The sequence below is a fragment of the Homo sapiens genome, chromosome 4, assembly GCF_000001405.40.
Source record: "Homo sapiens chromosome 4, GRCh38.p14 Primary Assembly".
In the NCBI taxonomy this organism is placed as follows: Eukaryota; Metazoa; Chordata; class Mammalia; order Primates; family Hominidae; genus Homo; species Homo sapiens.
In genome coordinates, this window is record NC_000004.12 from 106,301,581 (window position 1) to 106,320,470 (window position 18,890).

An 18,890-nucleotide genomic window follows, 5' to 3' on the forward strand; every position below is an offset into this window, starting at 1 on the left:
AGTTAGCAAGAAAATATTATCATCTTTGATTAGTTTCGAATGATCTATAGAAAACAGTGAAAGCTAGACTTCTGAGCTAACATAACATGTGAAAACATAATGTTACTAAAACAGACCACATGTAACAAGAGTATGTGACTCCAAGTAAGAAGTCAATTGTTACTGACTTAACAATAACATGCAGGGTGGGAGGGGGCATGACTAACAATAGCAAGATATCTGCATAGCAAGAACAGAATAAAAGAGGAAAAGTAGAATCAAAATCAAAATTCTTTGAGGAGACACAAATCAAAGTCATGTGGTATTACACCATTGAAAAATATGTGTTCATATTGAGAAATACTTTCACTAAGGAGACTGTTCATCAGAAACTTCAAATTTTTCAAAGTAGATGCAACTGAAATGACTAGAATGTTTTGGAACAAACAGACTTTTACATAAGCAATTACTCTAACGGTAAATTATTCCTTATACACACAACTTTTCAGAATGCTAAACATTGCCAATAAAAACAAGATAATCAAATTCCCTAGCCTAATGACAATCCATATTTTCATTTCAGACAACTAGACTTAGAATATATAAACTTTACACATATTCATGACCTATGTTACCCTAGCAGAGAGGGCTGCTGAAATACAGGAGTAGCAGGGCAGGTCAGGGAAGCAGAGTAAACAGCAATATAGTGGACAGGGCTAACGGGACTAACCATGCTGTTGAACTGGCCTCAGAGAACAACAATCAGTAGAACGATTACAGTTTCTAAGCGGATCAGTTCCCACCCGACTTTGATAATCAAAAAGAAGGTTCACAGGGAAAATAAGGAAGAATACTCCCCAAAGAGAATCATGCTATAACGCAGTTCCTAATTCGGTGTTTATAGAGGCCCGTTTAGGTAGAGGAAGGAAAAGAAGGAGCTTTAGAACTATTTTGTCAATTGAGAAAAGGAGGCCTAGGAACAGAGGAAAAAACCCCAAATACATAAAGTGAAGCTCCAAAGAGGCTTCCAGATACAGTGGGAATAAACAAAGGGCTCTTGGTGGAAAGAGTGTGGAAAGACAGGCCTCTGCCAAATTTACAGATGTTCACCACCCATGGTTAATACTCAGCATCTACTGTACTGTCAACCAAAGAATGGTTTTGGAAATAGGATAAACTTACAACTGGAAATTCTTTAGAATCTGTAGCTGGATTAAGGGTAAGGGCTGTTGAAGTATACAGGGATTGAAAATATCTATTAATTGCTTGGTGATGTAAAAAGCTCCAAATGATCCCCGTAATTTTTCAACATCTAATTAATGTCACTAAAGCCAGGTAACAAATAAAAATCTTTGGCAAAAAATTATTTTTTGAACAAAAATTAACTCACTGAAAGTTATTTTCTGGGCTTTCAGCAAATGGCTGGAGCTATCTATAGTCTACTATTAGATATAGTTACCACTAGTCTTCACAGTTCTCTTTAAGCAAATTAGAAAAAGCACCCCTCCCCCTAGAATAAATTAGAGAATCAGATTTCAGCTCCCACTTACTCCATTATCCAGAAGCTTTTATGCAGTGAGGCAAAACCCTACACAGTGGCCCTGACTGTGGGTCTCCTAATTGGTAAATATATGACATGGTGCAACACTAGGTACAGGTCAAATCAATTTTGAAAAGTCTAGTACCTGACATTAGAACTTCTCAAGTTAGCCTTTAAGTAAAGAAGATAATCTCTCCATACCCCTTGATACTCTACACCAGTGCTTTTAAGCCCTTTTTTCTTTTTTTTCCATTAGGAATCCTTTTTGAAAATCTGCGAAAAACTATGCATTTTCATTATTCAGCAAACACATGTGTACATATGTATATACACATACACAATTTTATATGTAATTTGAAGGGGTTCACAGACCTCCCAAAGCCTACTGAAGCTGCAATTTTAAACTTAAAATTTCATTTCCTTAGATGTTTACTATAGACTAAAAATAATCTTCAAAGCCCTTCAACTGACTGAAGAGACCATCTCTTGGCCAAGGGGACCCCAGAGTAACCTTGAAAACTGAGTTCTCAGCCATGATAGGACTTAGGGTCAGACAACCTCATTATACCCCACCCCCTTAACCATGATTAGGCTTTCTTCCCTAGGGACTTAACAAAAACCAGCCCTTTCAAAAGATTCCACAACTGATATCAACCAACTACCTGACACTACCCCTTCTTTTTTGCCTGATAAGAGACCATTTGCCTGATAACCAACCATGAAGTGGTTCTGGCCAGTCTACCAAGAATAAGCAGTAAGGGTTTTCGTGTCCTCTGCTCCACCTTTGACATCAGAGGGCCAAAAACTCCACCCTCGGATCATGACCCTCAGATGATGCTAGCATTGCCATTTTTTATATGTGGGACCCATGAAGGGGCTTGAAGGGGAATGAAGTTTAATGCACATACACACGGTTCTCCTTTCATAAATATTCATAACTCCTCCCACAGCTTACTGAATATGTATATTTGGCCACTCTGCTCAGTATAAATTTCTGTTCCCTTTGCCCCTCCCTCAAAGTATCTGTTTCAAGCTTCTCACAAAAGGCTATGCTTCCCAGCCTGTCACAGTGGTCACCCTGCAGGCTATAACCCTTATGATAAATAAAGCTCTCCTTTCTAAGTTTATGAACCTCTTCATTCTTCAGTGTACCTCCCTCACACAAAAAAAGGTGGGGGACAAAAAGCTACAGAGACTTCCCAGTTCAGAGATTAACACCAAAAAGAACAATAAAGCAAACCCATAACAACAGACATAAGATCAGATCAGAGATCTCAGATCCTCATACCAAATAAATTTCTATACCATAGTCTCCATAGTTCATCTAGACAACAGATTGTACAAACATTATAAAGCTTTAAATTGATATTTTTTCCACGTTTAAGTATCTAGAAATTAATTTCTTAATAAGCTGCCTCATTATAAAAATAATTTGAAGCAGTTAGATTTACTTCTTTGCCCTGGCCTATAAGAAGTATACAACCAAATTTATAGTCCAACTAAAAAAATATTAATATTACTAACCTCAAATCTTATTCTGTTTCCTTTCTCCCTGAAGAAAATCAGAATATGCCATCTCAAAATATCCCACTTTGACATAAGGATTTTGAGTGAAGGCAATTAGCTCTCTTCTCTCTCCATTTCTGTCTAAGCAGAACATAAATCTCCCTCTGTAAAGATGAAAGGAATTTCCATTTGATAAATTCCATTTGGAAATTATCCTCTCCTACACTAGGAAGAGGAAAATGACTCTTATCTACATAACAAACTTACTAAGTAATTCTTATTTACCATGCATTTCTGAGTCACTTTCTCAAATCCCAAACCCCTCTTCCTTTGTCTACCCTCTTCTCTATACTTTATTTCCCTTTGTGAAGATGGTATATAAGCCTCAATTCTAACTACCTCCATGAGTTGCATTTCTTTGTGAAATCTGTGCCTATAGATTAAATCTGGGTTTGTTTGTTTTTTTCTCCTGTTAACCAGCCTTTTATCAGTTTGATTCCTGGGACCTACCATTAAGCATCAGAGAGTAGAGAAAGTTTTTTTTCCTTTTTTACATCTTCACCTTGATTATTTTTCTTTCATGTACTATATATAAAATACTGTATGAATGTCTGCATCTTGTCTCAAATTATTTTTGAAAAAAGTAAGCTTGTAATTAATCAAGAGACATAAATGTCTTTTTAAATTAAGAATAATTAATAATGATATTAAGACTTTGTTTCCTAGAAATATGTCAACAATAAAAGGCCAACATCTTTTGAAAATCCATTAATTTTTGAGACTACCAGCATCATCAAAATGAATGAATGTAAGCAAATAAAACATAACAGACAGAAGAGCCATTGCTCTGTGGTCTAAAGTCCTTTATCCCACCAAAACCTTTTATATATGAGTTTGATTAATATATATATATTTTTTATTATTTCTTATCTTTAGAGACAGGGTCTAGCTCTGTCACCCAGGCTGGAGTGCAGTGGCATGACTGTCAGAGGCGTGTGAACCAGAGCAACTCCATCTTGAATAGGGGCTGGGTAAAGTGAGGCTGAGACCTACTGGGCTGCATTCCTAAGAGGTTAAGGCATTCTTAGTCACAGGATGAGATAGGAGGTCAGCACAAGATACAGGTCATAAAGACCTTGCTGATAAAACAGGATGCAGTGAAGAAGCTAGCTAAAACCCATCAAAACCAAAATGGCCACTAGAATGACCTCTGGTTGTCCTCACTGCTACACTCCTACCAGTTTACAAATTCCAAGGCAACGTCAGGAAGTGACCTTATACGGTCTGAAAAGGGGACGCATGAATAATCCACTCATTGTTTAGCATATAATCAAAAAATAACCATAAAAATGGACAACCAGCAGCCCTTGGGGCTACTCTGGCTATGGAGTAGCCTTTCTTTTATTCCTTCACTTTCCTAACAAACTTGTTTTCACTTTACTCTATGGACTTGCCCTGAATTCCTTGCCGCACAAGATCCAAGAACCTTCTCTTGGGGGTCTGGATTGGGACCCTTTCCTGTAACATGATCATAACTCACTGCAGCCCCAAACTCCTTGTCACAAATGATCCTCCTGCCTCAGCCTCCTGAATAGCTAGGACTACAGGAACAAGACACCATGCCTGGCTAATTTTTTTTTTTTTTTTTTTTTTTTTTTTGGTAGAGACAGAATCTTATTACATTGCCCAAGCTGGTCTCAAACTCCTGGCCTCAAGCAATCTTCCTGCCTCAGCATGCCAAAGTGCTAGGATTATAGGCATGGGCCACCATGCTTGGCCTTGATATTCTTCAACGCAAAATTAACATTCTCTTCTTTGTACTTCCATAGCATAGCATAGCACATTGTACATCACCTATTATAACAACTATTACTGTATTATTTAATATTATCATGGTTGTATTTTTCTCTACTGTTTCTGAAGCTGACTTGGGACCTGGGGTAATGAGTTACTCATTTTTGTATATTTGGCATCTAGCAGAAGGAGGGCCATAGTATCAGTCAAGGGTTACCAAGGTATTATAACCCCAGTGTACATGTTTGTCAAAGCAGTGGACAAGAAAGACAGGTTCCTAAATAAATCTTCAACTCATCAGCACCTTTATTACTTTTGCTTCAAAGCTAGGTTTCTATCAGCTCTGACTTCCCAATTTGTTCCCTACAGAGAGAGACCCTTAAGGCCTCAACATGGCACCACCCATGCTCTTGCTTGAGGGATTAAGCCAAACATGACAGGCATTTACTAATATTTGCAGAATCAATCAATCAAAGTCAACCTTGAACAGTAAAAGAAGTCTCAATAAAATAATGTATACTTTAACATGTCTGTGTGTATATACCTATATGTCAATATGAAAAAACAAATTTTTTTTTATCATCTGCTAGACAATTAACTTTTTTTACCACTCTCTTTCCCAAATCTCTCACGAAGCCTCCTGACAACATCTAACTATTTACAGCACTAGGTATGTGGTAGAGCTCAACAGTATTTATGGTACGGAATAGCTCTGATTAGAATTCTGTCAATATTTGCATTATTATACACTTACAGCAACATGTACAATCTTTCAAAAAATAATAAAATGTATTAGCAGTCCATTTTTCCTTAATTTCCTTCGTGTGCCCTTGGATGAATTAATTGTGAACCTTGACTTAATTGCTCTGTGGTTTAATTTTCTTATCTGTAAAATGACAGGACTAGTTCCTTTCACACAGTAATGTTACAAGGATTAAGTTAATTAAAATATGTAATTAAAATATGTAAAACACTAAGAATATTGCCTTATATAAACGCTCAATAAATTTTAACGATTAATAATTATCATTACAAAAAAAATTTCTACTCAGTCTATAAAACACAAATATTCTCAGAGTAAATATTTTAAGAGAAATAAACCAGGGAACTTGAAAGTACAGTTTAGTCTATTTTCAGCAAAACAGTAAAGAAAACATTGTTTGCATTTATCAGGGTTTTTAATATTAGGTTGAAACACATAAAATTGCCACTTTTATAGGGAAAAAGTTGAATATCACCAACTACATAGGGTTTACTTTCAGATTTTTTTACGTCTACAAATTATTTTATGTTAGAAAAATTAAATACATTTCACTGAAATGCATTTAAAATATTTTTAAGAAATGCAACCTTACCCTGCAATTAAGCTTCCAAAAATAATTCTGAAATAATTAAAAATATTGCCACCATAAGAATCTTTAAGTGGAGAATGAAAGAACCTGATTACACTACTAAAAACGCAGTAAACATCTTCCTCAAACACTGACTTTTTAACCAATAGGGTTCAACTTTTCTAATTCAGTTCTCTAAATGGGCTGCTATATAAAAAGACTAATGGAGTTTAAAAAAAAAAATCTACTGACTCCCTTTTCATTTGAAGACAGTTGCCAAAATCATTACTTTCAATCATAAAATATATTGTTAGATAATTCTTCTAAAGTTCCTAACATTAGAACTTCATTTCCTTCATATAGATAAAGAAATATGTTTAAGAATAGACGGTTTCCCTGAAAAAGAAAATTAAAAATCCTGATTCTCAGATCTGAGAAACATTAATCATTCAAATATAGTTGTTAATTCATTCATTCAGCTAACAAACACTTATTGAGTGCTCTGAGGTCACAAGTAAAGGTCCTTATCCTCAAGAACTAAGAATCCTCAGAGGAGAAAAATTAAATAGAAAATAATAAAATGTGATAAAAGCTATAAAAGAACTTAGGAAAAAGACTTAGCTCAGATTGCAGGGAATGGAGCATAGCATAATCCATGAGAGAAAATTGCAAAGTACAAAATCAAGGATATGTGAATCAAAAAACCTCAAAGCAACTCAGCTTGGCTGGCATGAAGGGTTAAATTAGTGGAAACAACAAGCAATACATCGAAAGAGGACAGCACAGACTAGATCAAGGACTAGATGAAGGATTTTGTATGCAATAGCCTAGTAAAGAGTTTGAATTTTACCTGGTAGATTTGCAAGTAAATGGGGAAGTGTACGAGAGAGAGGCAGGGTGGGGGAAAAGGATGAGAGAAAGAAGGACATGTGTGCACTGGTACTGATGATAGCTTTATATATTTAGTGGATATAGTATTTATAACTTAGGGTAACAAAGTAGAGAACATAAATAGGAAAAAAAAGAAAATAACTTACCATGCTTTCCCCTAGAAATATCCACATACTGGCAGAGTCTGGGATGGGTGATGGTTTTAAGGATTTGAAAGCGCCCTAAAATTTTGATGGAATTTGGTGTGAGAGGAAGTCCATTGCTTCCACAAACATCATGTGGCAGAGCCGAGGCAAAGAAGGTAAAGGCTCCCATTTCAGCGTCCTTCAGGGGAAACATTTTTGGAGTCCTAGGTCTTCTAAGATAATCTGGAAAAGGAGAGAATTTTAGGACAGACCAAACATTAAGCCAGACAGACCAAATCTTAAGCATGATTAACATACAACTTGGAGGAAAATGCCAACCTGAACACTTCACAGTAAAAATATCAAAGTATAAGAAAATTCTAAAATATCAGAGGACAAAACAACTCAGCATAAATTTATATTGCAGCTCTAAATCAAACTCTAAGATTTTCAATGGCATAAAAAAGAAAAGATTATTCCATTCTCAATGACATTTGACAGTTTAAAGAGTAGAGGAAGTTTGTTACTGCATCTTCATATTATTAATAAGGCTCTTCTCTTTTTTTTTTTTTTTTTTTTTTTTTTTGAGACAGTCTCGCACTGTCACCCAGGCTGGAGTGCAGTGGTGTGATCTCCGCGCACTGCAACCTCTGCCTCCCGGGTTCAAGCAATTCTCCTTCCTCAGCCTCCCGAGTAGAGGCACCCACGACCACACCCAGTTAACTTTTTGTATTTTTAGTAGAGATGGGGTTTCACTATGTTGGCCAGGCTGGTCTTGAACTCCTGACCTCGTGATCCACCCGCCTCGGCCTCTCAAAGTGCTGGGATTACAGGCGTGAGCCACCACACCCAGCCAATAAGGCTCCTCTCTTTACCTAAAGATTGAATAACCCACACACCACTGACAACCTTCCTTCTCATACAGTGAGGTAGGTCAGGAAAGAGGAAATATAGGTACCAACTAGTAACGAATAGGGGACCTTATTAATAGTAGTAAAGCTTAAACTAGATTAAAAGAAGGCTCTATAATATTAAATAACCAATTTTCATTTTTATGCTAGATATTTTACATAATGTATGATCTGCTTTAATCCTTTTAATAATCCTGACAGAGCTATTGGCTCCAGTTTAGAGATAGTTGTTCCATGTGTATAGCATGAGGCGTCCTATTTGCACTTACTCCAAAATAAATGGTGCCCCAAAGTTGCGTAAAGTAGTAGCCTGGAGAGTAGGAAACTTGCTCCATATCAATCTGAATCACATTAAGGCAACCATAACAACAAAAAAAAGGGTCTTCTGACACAAAAATCTTTTACCCATGGACCTCACTAAGAAGACATTCTACTGGTAAAGCCCTGCATTTTTCCCTTCTCAGCTTAATGATAAATATGCTGGAATTCCAATTCAATAAATCCACTTTGACAAGAAACCTTACTGAAATCATTAAAAATAAAATATTATAAAACGTATAAACCCTTAACAAGGAAGAAAAGAGAAACAGGCCATGAGGTGATGAAAGATTTCTAGAAACTTGTACAAAACAAAATATATAAGGAAGAGTGAAGCAGAAAGAAATAAGCTACAACCTGTAATAGTCAAGAGGTTTGTTTGGTCCCTTCAGATTCAGAGGCTTCAGACTCAGAGAAGGCGGGAACAATGTTAAACAGCAGTCAGAGGGTTTGAAATCAGAAGGGTGAAGTGTTGAATAATTAGAAGCGTCAATTCTGCCACCAGCCCCACAACATTGGCAGTTATTTACACTCCATGAAAAAAAGAAAAAGATAAGGTTCTTCCCTAAAGAAGCTGAACAAACTGAGAACTACACTAGTTGCTATGGACACTGGTGAGAAGAGCAAACTCCTCACAATTCCGGAATTTGTAGGACCCCAGCTAAGATTTGGCTGTTCACCCAGCCATCCTAAAACAAAATATATCCGTCAATAAGCCTGTCCATATATGCAAAGCTCCCAGGAAGCCTTAGCTCTTAAATAATGAGTTGTCTGAGAATCATCAGATAGTTGAGGAAAGACTACAGTATCAAGGGCAAACAATGAAATAAACCTCCAAAAATCTGGCTTTGGAAGCAACTGAAATAATTTATGAAAAAATAACACAAAAACCAACTCTAACAAACATAGAGAGATTTGAGGAGATATTGCATCCATTACATAAAACAAGTTATAGAAAAACACATTATACAAAAGAATAAAGAGAAATGGCCAATAGATACATGAGAAGATAAACAACCTCATGAATAATCAAGGAATTGCACATTAAAACCACAAAAAATTTTTATCTACTGGACAGTCAAAAATTAAGAAATCTGATAACACATAATGTTAGAAGGATGTGGAAAAATAGGATCTCTAATTTGCTGTAAGTGGGAGTGTAAATTAGTAAAATCACTAGATATGTTTTACACTATCTTGCTATTATATTCCTACAGAAACTCCTACACACACACACACACACACACACACACACACACACACACACACACAGAGTGGACCTGTGCAAGAAAGATCAAGGCAGTATTATTGCTCCTAATATCCCCAAGCTGGAGACAATTTAAATGTCCAATGGTAGGTAAATGGTTAAATAAATTGTGCTTTATTCACCTGTATACATAATGAAAAATAAGCAAACTATAGCCATATTTAATAGCATAGATGAATCTTAGAAATATAATATTGAGTGAAAAAAGTAACATAAAATATTCCAGTTTTCATAAAACTCAAAAACAAAAAATAAAACAAATAATTCTGGAATACTTATATCTATTGTAAGAATATATTCAATAAGTAAGGGAATTTAAAAAAAATACTCAGAATATGGGTTACTACCAAATTAAAGTGGGGTAAGGTTAGGGAAAAATTCATAAAAAGCTTCAAAAATCTTGAGTAATAGCCTAGTTTTTAGCTGGTGAATTAATGGGTGTTCATGTTATCATTATGCTTGGTAATTTCCATGCTCTGTATCTATATTTATCTACATATGTGTGTGTTAATACCACATATTTCATAATTAAAAGAATTTAAATAAAATAAATTGATTCTCAACAAAAGCAAAAGAGTTCAACAGGAAAAGGAAAGTCCTTTTTACAAATGGTGCTGGAAAAAGATATTCATATAAAAAAATAATAACCTCAACTTCTACTGATACATCCACAAAAATCTAAGATGGAACATAGGCTTAAGCGTAAAAGGTAAAACTGTTAGTCTTCTAATTGAAAACATAAGCGAATATCTTTACAACCTTAGGCTAGGCAAAGATTTCTTAGACACAATAGAACAAAGCACTAGCCACAAAAGACAATTTTGACAAAGTAGACTTCATCAAAATTAAAAACATCTGCATATCCAAAGGCACCCCTGAGAAAATAAAAATTCGAGTTAAAGGGAAATATTATTTACATCTGTCTGTATATACATATGACATTATGTATATATATGACCTTTTAAAATCAAACATATGTGTGTCTGTATATAATTGACCTGTATTCGGAGTCTATAAAGAAATACCACAATTCAATAATAAAACAAGCCAATACATAAATAGGTAAAAGTCACAAACATATTTTCACACAAGGCATGAAAATAATAAGCACATGAAAAAGTTCTTAATATCATTAATTGGGGGAAATGCAAATGAAAATCACAATGACAAACCTTTAACTTCTACAATGGCTAAAATTTAAATGACTGGCAGTAACAAGTGTTGAGAATGTGGAAGTGGAGCTTTGCTATATTGCTAGTGGGAGCGTAAAATGGCAAAAGAATTTTGGAAAATATTTGGAAAACTTTTCTAAAGTTAAAAATATCCCTAACTTATGACTCAGAAATTCCACTCTTTAACCAAGAAAAATGAAAACATTTGTCCATAAAAAAAAACACTGTATGAGTATGTTCATAGGAACTGTACTCTTAATAGCTAAAAACCAGAAGCAATGCAAATGTCCCATAAGTGAATCAATTAACATATTTGTACCATGAAATTCTATTTAACAAAAATGGAACAAACATGTCAAAACATGGATATACTCAAAAACATAAAGTTTATGAAAGAAGCAGACACAAAAGAGTTCATACTGTATGACTCCATTTAAATGTAATTCCAGAACTATAGTTCTAAACTATAGTATTAATAAAAAAATCAGAAGATAGTACTGTAGATGGGGGAGAGGGGTTGAATAAGCAGAGAAACAGAGGAACTTTCTGTAGTGGTAGAAATATTCTCTATCTCGATTGTGGTGGTAGTGGTTTTATGGATGAGTACATGCATCAAAACTCATTAAATTGGCCACTTAAAATCAATGTGTTTTAATATGTATCAAATTTTATCTCACACAAAATAAAACAGCTTATGAGAAGATAAACACTGCTATACATTTTCAAAGCATCAAACGTAACTAGAAAATTGTAAACATTTCAGACAGAAAAAACTGATTCTGCTATCAACAAGTTAAAGTGAGACTGGCATTCTCATCAGCAATAATGAAAGTCAGAAGAGAGCCTGGTGCAGTGGCTTGTGCCTGTGATCCCAGATACTTGAGAGGCTGAGGTGGGAGGATCACGTGAGGTCAGGAGTTTCAGACCAGACTGAGCAACACAGTGAGACTCCAGCTCAAAAAAAAGGAAAAAAAAAAAGTTAGAAGACATGGAAGGATTGAGAGTTGAAGGAAAATACTTTTGATTCTATATACAGCCAAATTATCAGTCATAAGAGCAAATTATAATTTACAGCTATACGAACATTAAAAAATAAAATTACCTTTCACTTGCCTTTTGTGAGCAAGTTTCCTTAGGATATATTCCAGGGAAATAGGGGGAAGCCCAATAACAGAAGATGAGGGGCTAAGAAACAATGTTATTTACCCAAGAATGAATATAAGCCCAGGATAGGAGCAATACAAAAGGACTAGAATGCAATCTGTTCAAATTAAACAGAAAGCCATTGGGCTTTAAGGGGAAAATCTTCAAACAGAGGAATGGAAGCTTGCTTCTATGTGCATCATACAAAGAATGAGAAGATTCAGTGAAGAAAGCACATCCACCTACCTATTCCCCAGGAGAAAGCAGAAAGGCAATTAAGAAAGTGGGGACGGTTAAAAACTATGTATTACATACTCCAAAATATAAAGCATGCTCAACTACAGCATATTTTGCCCTTGGCAGGAAAGAAATAAAAACCCATTTGACCTTGATATCATAAATAATCTCCTTAGTATGGCACAGGGATCATGAAGTTAAAACTCTGGGGAAAAAAACATATCAGAGCATACAGCTTGGACTTGCTCTAAGTAACAACTATAAAGCCATAATACTGTAAACATTTTATTTTTTTTATTGGTTTTTGGCACGTGAATAAAGCGCAAATGTTATAGTTAAGAAATATATTACTAACTTTGACAATGTACAAGTAAATGTCCAGCTAAGAGAAAGTGGGCATAAATGTAGTTTCTGAAGTGATAAAGAAAAAGGTAGAATCACTACTTTTCTCGTTTTACCAAACAAGGAGTCAAATATATTTTCAAAAGTTGATGTGAAAAAAGTAGTTTACGTATATTATTTTGAATTATAAAGTAACCAATACAAAAACTAAAAATTATGATTATGACTCTTCCAAAATTCAGAGGAGATTGTGAATGGTGTGGGCTATTTCTAGAAGTCAACGGAAAAAGAATTAGCAGTTCAACTTAGGGCTATCTCAAGAAGTCAACAAAAAGAATTAACAGTTTAACTTATTATTTAACCTACAGACCTAAAATTAGAAAAGGTTAAAAGTGGTTATCTTTGAAGAACAGTACTGAGAGTAGGACAGGTGAGACAGTTGCACTTTATTATTCAATCCTACTACGCTATACTACTTGATTTTTTTTTTTTTTTTTTTTTTTTTTGAGACAGAGTCTCACTCTGTCATCAAGGCTGGAGTGCAGTGGCATGATCTCGGCTCACTGCATCCTTCCACCTCCCGGGTTCAAGCGATTCTGTGCCTCAGCCTCCAGAGTGGCTGGGATTACAGGCGCCCGCCACCACGCCCGGCTAATTTTTGTATTTTTAGTAGAGACGGGGTTTCACCATCCTGGCCAGGCTGGTCTTGAACTCCTGACCTCAGGTGATCCACCCGCCTCGACCTCCCAAAGTGCTAGGACTACAGGCGTGAGCCACCGCGCCCGACCATTTTATTTTCAATCAGATGTCTTTATCATCACATAGCTGAAAATAAAATAACCAAATAAAACACAATGATCGAAAAAGATAAAACACTAATTAGCATAATCAGTGTTCTTTTTCCACTACCTCTTAAATGGTTGTACATAAAAAGGCTCACACACAAAAATACACACACATACATTCACTTACACCTCGTGAGTGGAAGAAAACTACCGGGGGAAAAAAAACGTAGAGATGAGAGATTAGATGAGGGAAACAGCAGTGCAAGCAGTTGGGCTTGAAAATTCATTCATTCAACAAATATTTTGAAGCCCCTATTTTAAGTCAGTTGTTTTTCCAGCTGGTGGGCAAAGGATAATGAACAAGTCAGACTCTGTGCCCTCAAAGAACTTAGAGTTTTAAACGACTCGAATGGGGAAAGAAAGTAAAAAATAGGGCAAAAGACGCCGATTTTATCATGAATAAAATTTCACATTTCTTCAACAGGAAAATGATACTAATTCATTTATTTTATATATACATTCTCTCAAGAGGTTATTTTTGTCTCAAATAGATAGAAACCAGGACAGGGATCCTTGAAAAGCAGCCACTGACAATCCTCAAGTAACTTCCTTCCTCTGCTTCACTTTCTCCTACTGCTCAAGGGGGTGTTACACTTTGACGACTGACTAAACCTCGAGGGCCAGAAACAAACCAAAGCAAAATTCTGCCTCCAAGGTGAGTAATGGAGGGGCGGATTCTAGATTCTCTAACCTCCTTTAGCCTTCCTTTGAGGCAGTGACAGAGCGATTACTAAGCCTACGGTTCCCAAACGACTCAGGTGAACCTGATTTACAGGAAAGGCGGGCTGTAGCTAGGGATGGAGACAGTACCTATCAGCAAGCGGCTCCACAGCTCGGTTCTCTATCTATTCTGAAGACATGCGGGGCCACTCACTGCTCCTGATAGTCCTCTACCTCCCACAGACCCCACCCACTACGACACGGAAAACTGGATTACCCAAATACCTGCCTCTGAGTCTGGGGACGCAGGCAAGCACAAAGACAAGGGGGATGGAGCTTCTACACAGGGCCCCAGCGCTGTCGCTGTGGCTGCTGCTGCCGCTACGGCTTAGTGCACCAGACGCTGCATTTCAGGTGCTCCTACAAAAGAGGCCACTCCTGGAACGCCGGGAGCTCAGACGCTGCCCTTTGCTCGCGAGCCAAGTCAGCCAAGGTTAACCTTCGCGGAACCCGGCGAGGAGCGCAAGCCTGGCCTTCCCCAAACACAGATCCGAGCTTTTCACCCTCTACCCTCCCCTCAGCCTGGCCTTTTCTTCCGCCCTCACAGCCACCGCGACCCAACGCTGAGGAAAGACCCCGACTTGTGGTGTCCTTCCCCTTGCCCAAACTGGCCACGAAAGGACATATAGCGAGAGAGAAAGAGGTGCGGGGGGACGGGGGGGGTCGATTGAAAATACTGGGTGAGGGAATGGAAGACGAGGAGCGTGGTATGGCAGGTTAATGGGACTGAGCACAGGAAGAGGAAGAAAGAATTGAGGGTTGAATCTGTAGAACACTCAGGCTTTCAGCAAGGACACCTCATTGGGTCCTTTCTCACTGCTATAGTACGCGGGTGGCTGGACCTACATGCTTCCTGCTGTGGCTGTCTCGGAACCCGTGGTCCTCCGCTTCATGTGAGTGACGTCGTGGCGGGTCACTCACTCGGGGATCGCCGATTGCGATCGTAGGGGTCTTCCTTCTCTAACTTGCCTCCAGGAGAGAGGACCTGGCCTGCGCTGCTAATGGGTAGTCCGTTCGCAGCAGGACCAGCCCTGGCCTAAGGAAACAGGAAAGAGTTTGAGACTTCCTTCTAAAGGAGCCACGTTTGAGAAATGGGATGCAGGCCTAAGTTAAGAATGCTACAGAAAAATATCGATCCCTAAGCGTATTTACTGTTATGTGAATGTGTGTGTCAAAGGACTTAGGTGCTTTGGGGGAGAGGAGGGTGAAGACAGGAATTTATTCATTGAGCGAATAGTTATTAAGCGCCCACTCTATTCCAGACACCGTTCTAGGCATTAGGTGAACAGCAGTGAACAAAACAGACGGAAATCTGTGTCTACTTGTAGCTCACATTTTAGAGAGGAAGGCACATACTAAGCAAAGTAATTAGAAACATACTGTATTTTAGGTCGTGATAGTCCTGAAGAGAAACGTAAAGCAGGGAAGAAGGGTATAAAGTGACACAGGAAGGTCTTGCTGAAAAGATGACTTTTAAGTAAAGGGCTGACAGAAGTGGGAGATTTAACCACGCGAATATCTTGGGAAAGTGCAGTCAGACAGAGGGACCAGCCATTGCAGAGGTCATGAAGCAGAAACGTGCTAGAATAGCAAGGAGGCCTGTAGGGCAGAGTTGAGTGAAGGGTTTAGTCCTTCACTGGAGATTAAATCAAGGCGAGCAGGTCATGAAGATCTTGAGGACATCTAACTTTTATTCTAAATGAAATAGGACTTTGGAGCGTTTTGAGCAGTAGAGTGATGGGCTCTGACTTCCTTTTAAGAGGGTCACTCTTTAAGGAAAATACACAGAGGAGGACGTGGTAGGAGAAAGGAGACCAATAAGAAGAGTTTTGCAATAATCCAGAGGAAGCATAATGGTGGTTTGACTATGGGTGGTAAGAAATGGCCAGTTATATTCTTGATGCACTTAATTTGGATATGTAAGAGTATTATAGATGACAGGGTTAATTTTATTTAATTAGGCTTTGGAGGACACTTGAAAAATGAATTCCAGTGTGAGTTTCAGAGTGGCAAACACAAGTTAAAATCATGGCTTTGCTATGTGGTACTTGAAGGGATTCAGATAAGTCATGTAATTTTCCTGGATCTGTCTATAAAATGGAAATCACATCTGTCAAGATTGCAAAGGTTAGGGTATATTATAGGTATTTAATGACAAGGTATGTAATGGGTCTAGTCTGCAAATCTTAACCAGGTAAAAGATGGCCTTATTGTGAGGTAAGAGGGTCATGGGAGGCCAAGGCATACTCCTTTTTAAATTTTATGGACTCTGTACTGGGGAGGAAAGTTTTTGTGTTAATGACGATGGTATTTAGAAATGCATGGACTGGCCTCTCATAGCTGTCCACCCTATAGTCATTCCTTATAGCCATCCTTTAAACCCTCCAGGACCCCCTATGTCCTCATCAGTAAAGGGAAAGCAGGCTGTCTGGTAAGGGAAATAGGAACTTCCATAAAAAAGCAATTTTAGATATTCTTTTTATAGGTTTTGGCAAAGGTTGATAAAAGACCTAGGGAATTACTGCTGGTTGCTGCGCTTACATATTTTGAGTGTCTTCAGATGCATTGTTCTCAGTGTATTTAATTTTCTTCTTTAAATTCTGACTTTTGACACATATGATTTAAATCCTAGCAGGAATTTTCACCTAGTGCTAAAAGGTACCACATTGCTTTACACTATAATAAGGACGGTCTTTCAGTGTGGGGTATTTTATGTATACTATAATATTTTTACATATCCAGTAATTAGATTGTGTAGCAAATCAGGGAAAGAAGTTGGAAGGCAAGAATAGGAATGAAGGGAGGAGAAGAAAGGAAGAAAATGATTAAAATTACTATATTCCATCAATTCTGAGATACACATTTTTCTCTTACTTAACATCTCTGAAATAGGGATGTATTTTTAAGTTGTTGACATCTTTAAATCACTGTAGATGAATTGGCAGTTGTGAGATATTTGTCATTGCCCACACTTACACCCACTTAGTCATAACTTAATCTTGTCATTATTTCAGTTGAGTTATATATGCACTATTGGCATATAGTTGTTGAGTGTAATTTCCCTTTTAAAGATCATTTAGAAGATTATGATTAGCATTAGAATGAAAAGTTACTGTGTATGTGGGGAAACAAAGGGTGATACAAGATAAAAATCCAGGGTTAAATTTAAAAGAAGTCTGTCAATAAATAATATAGGATGTGTCTAAGTAATAAGAAAGCATTGGGTCAGTTGATTCAATAGTGTTTTTTTTCATAATGTACATAAAATAATAGAGCTTCTTGGGATTGAAGCCATTTTACAATTGATGGCATTTTAGATTTCTTGTATAGTATTTAAAGCTTCCAACAAAAATGTAAATTTTTACCTACTGTAATTCTGAAATAGGGAAATTAGAGGTTTTGAGTAGAGACACTTTCAAATTTGTGTAGCGTTCCTATATAGCATAAGAATTCTAAAATTAAAAGTCTGCCTGTAAAACTTTGATTTCAAAGTAGTAACTTACTTATGTTTGATTCCCAATGTTGTCATCGTGGGGCAGAGATTTTGCTTTTTCAAAAAGATTGCAGGCAATTTAGATGGTGTGGGTGGGGAGGACTACTGAGGAAATTGCTCAGTAAACAAAAATGATAGTGAAGATCTCAGAATCTCAAAAATCATCTTTTGTGTGTGTATTTTAATGATTAAGATGTACTATAAATTCATGTACAGTATTTGGGATTCTGCATTAGAGGCATCGTATGATTAATGGCTTTTTAGGTTTGATGAAGTATGATAATTAACATTGAGAAGGACAAAATTAATGTGAAGGGACAGAATGATTTAGATAATATGTTTCAAAAGCTTTTGTCCTAAAAAATGCATTATTACCATTTTAATTTAGTAAAGGAAAAAGAAAAGGTCTTGATCCTCACCAAACACAATTAACATACTTGGTCTACAGTTTTCTGTGCTTCTCTCTTCATAAATGTTTTATATTTTCAATTACTGTGCATGTCATTCTTATATCTATTTTAATCTCACAGTCTTAATTTTTTTACATTTTAGTCCAGAGACTTAAACTAGCATTTCCTAAACTGTTTTAGAGAATACTAGTTCAAATAAATGTTAATAGCTGTTCCTGTGTTAGGATTCTGTCATTAAATATATTGGAAAATGCTTCGTAATTATATCCTTTAGAGAAATTATAGCTAGAGCATTAAAAGAGCTAACTGCAGCATCAGACAGACCTGAGTTTCAATCCTCGTTTACTATGTATTACATGAGGCAAATTAATTTTAATTCAAGTTTTCTTCTCTGTATAATGGAGATTATTACAGTATTCGAAATTGACTTGTGTAAAGCATTTAGCCAGCCATAGCGCATGTTCTACAAATATATGTAGTTGTTATTATCATCTATGAGAAACTTTATACATATTAGAAACTCTGAGGATTTAAAATTTTGAAGGTTGACTTATACTCAATGTAAAATTGAAAAATCACAGGGGAGTAATTAGCATAGAGATTAATGAAATGAGCACTGGGTTGAATGGTAAAAGATTTGTTTGAGCTTTAAGCAGTATTGTTGTTAAACTATCACTGTGCCCTAAGCGTAACATTATTTTAAAAATGTCTTCAACTGTGTTTCCCCCATTTGTCTGAAAGCTTAGTTAGTTCAAAGAACATGTTTATTTTTGTTCTCTACTATAAACCCAGCACATGACACAAAATCAGGGAGTGTAAAGTTGGGGTCATGAACTTATTTTAGGAGCCTGGTAGGTAATATAAAT

The 18,890-nt window shown here is 36.7% G+C and overlaps 2 protein-coding genes across 26 annotated transcripts in view, besides 3 other annotated features; one reads left to right on the top strand and one right to left on the bottom strand.

Annotated features, from left to right (window-relative positions):
• Positions 1-15,103, bottom strand: part of TBCK (TBC1 domain containing kinase) — a 275,085-nt gene extending 259,982 nt beyond the window's left edge. For 11 of the 22 annotated variants that reach the window (XR_001741353.3, XR_007057984.1, XR_007057982.1 and 8 more), the window contains exons 1-2: positions 14,351-14,629; positions 7,188-7,409 (exon numbers count right to left, since the gene is read on the bottom strand). Coding sequence is in view for 14 of the 22 variants with exons in the window: in NM_033115.5 (NP_149106.3) it covers positions 7,188-7,380 (193 nt within the window). In the remaining 8 variants the exon portion in view is untranslated. Of the gene's footprint in view, positions 1-3,043; positions 3,190-7,187; positions 7,410-8,346; positions 8,639-8,752; positions 13,037-14,346; positions 14,630-14,967 lie in introns of those variants that run through there. The other 11 variants (XR_007057983.1, XM_047416425.1, XM_017008846.2 and 8 more) reach the window with 6 other exon arrangements.
• The window catches only part of AIMP1 (aminoacyl tRNA synthetase complex interacting multifunctional protein 1), a 33,913-nt gene continuing 28,986 nt past the window's right edge, over positions 13,964-18,890 (top strand). Inside the window, exon 1 of one of the 4 annotated variants that reach the window (NM_001142415.2) lies at positions 13,964-14,056. The gene's annotated coding sequence lies outside the window, so the exon portion shown is untranslated. Of the gene's footprint in view, positions 14,057-14,354; positions 14,765-14,969; positions 15,231-18,890 lie in introns of those variants that run through there. The other 3 variants (NM_004757.4, XM_047416410.1, NM_001142416.2) reach the window with 3 other exon arrangements.
• Positions 14,209-14,298: an enhancer, noted in NCBI's record as "active region_21785". NCBI's record gives its function as "activates an Ori minimal core promoter by ATAC-STARR-seq in GM12878 lymphoblastoid cells {active_cell/tissue: GM12878}" and the evidence as "EXISTENCE:reporter gene assay evidence [ECO:0000049][PMID:35858748]".
• Positions 14,379-14,438: an enhancer, noted in NCBI's record as "active region_21786". NCBI's record gives its function as "activates an Ori minimal core promoter by ATAC-STARR-seq in GM12878 lymphoblastoid cells {active_cell/tissue: GM12878}" and the evidence as "EXISTENCE:reporter gene assay evidence [ECO:0000049][PMID:35858748]".
• Positions 14,929-15,178: an enhancer, noted in NCBI's record as "active region_21787". NCBI's record gives its function as "activates an Ori minimal core promoter by ATAC-STARR-seq in GM12878 lymphoblastoid cells {active_cell/tissue: GM12878}" and the evidence as "EXISTENCE:reporter gene assay evidence [ECO:0000049][PMID:35858748]".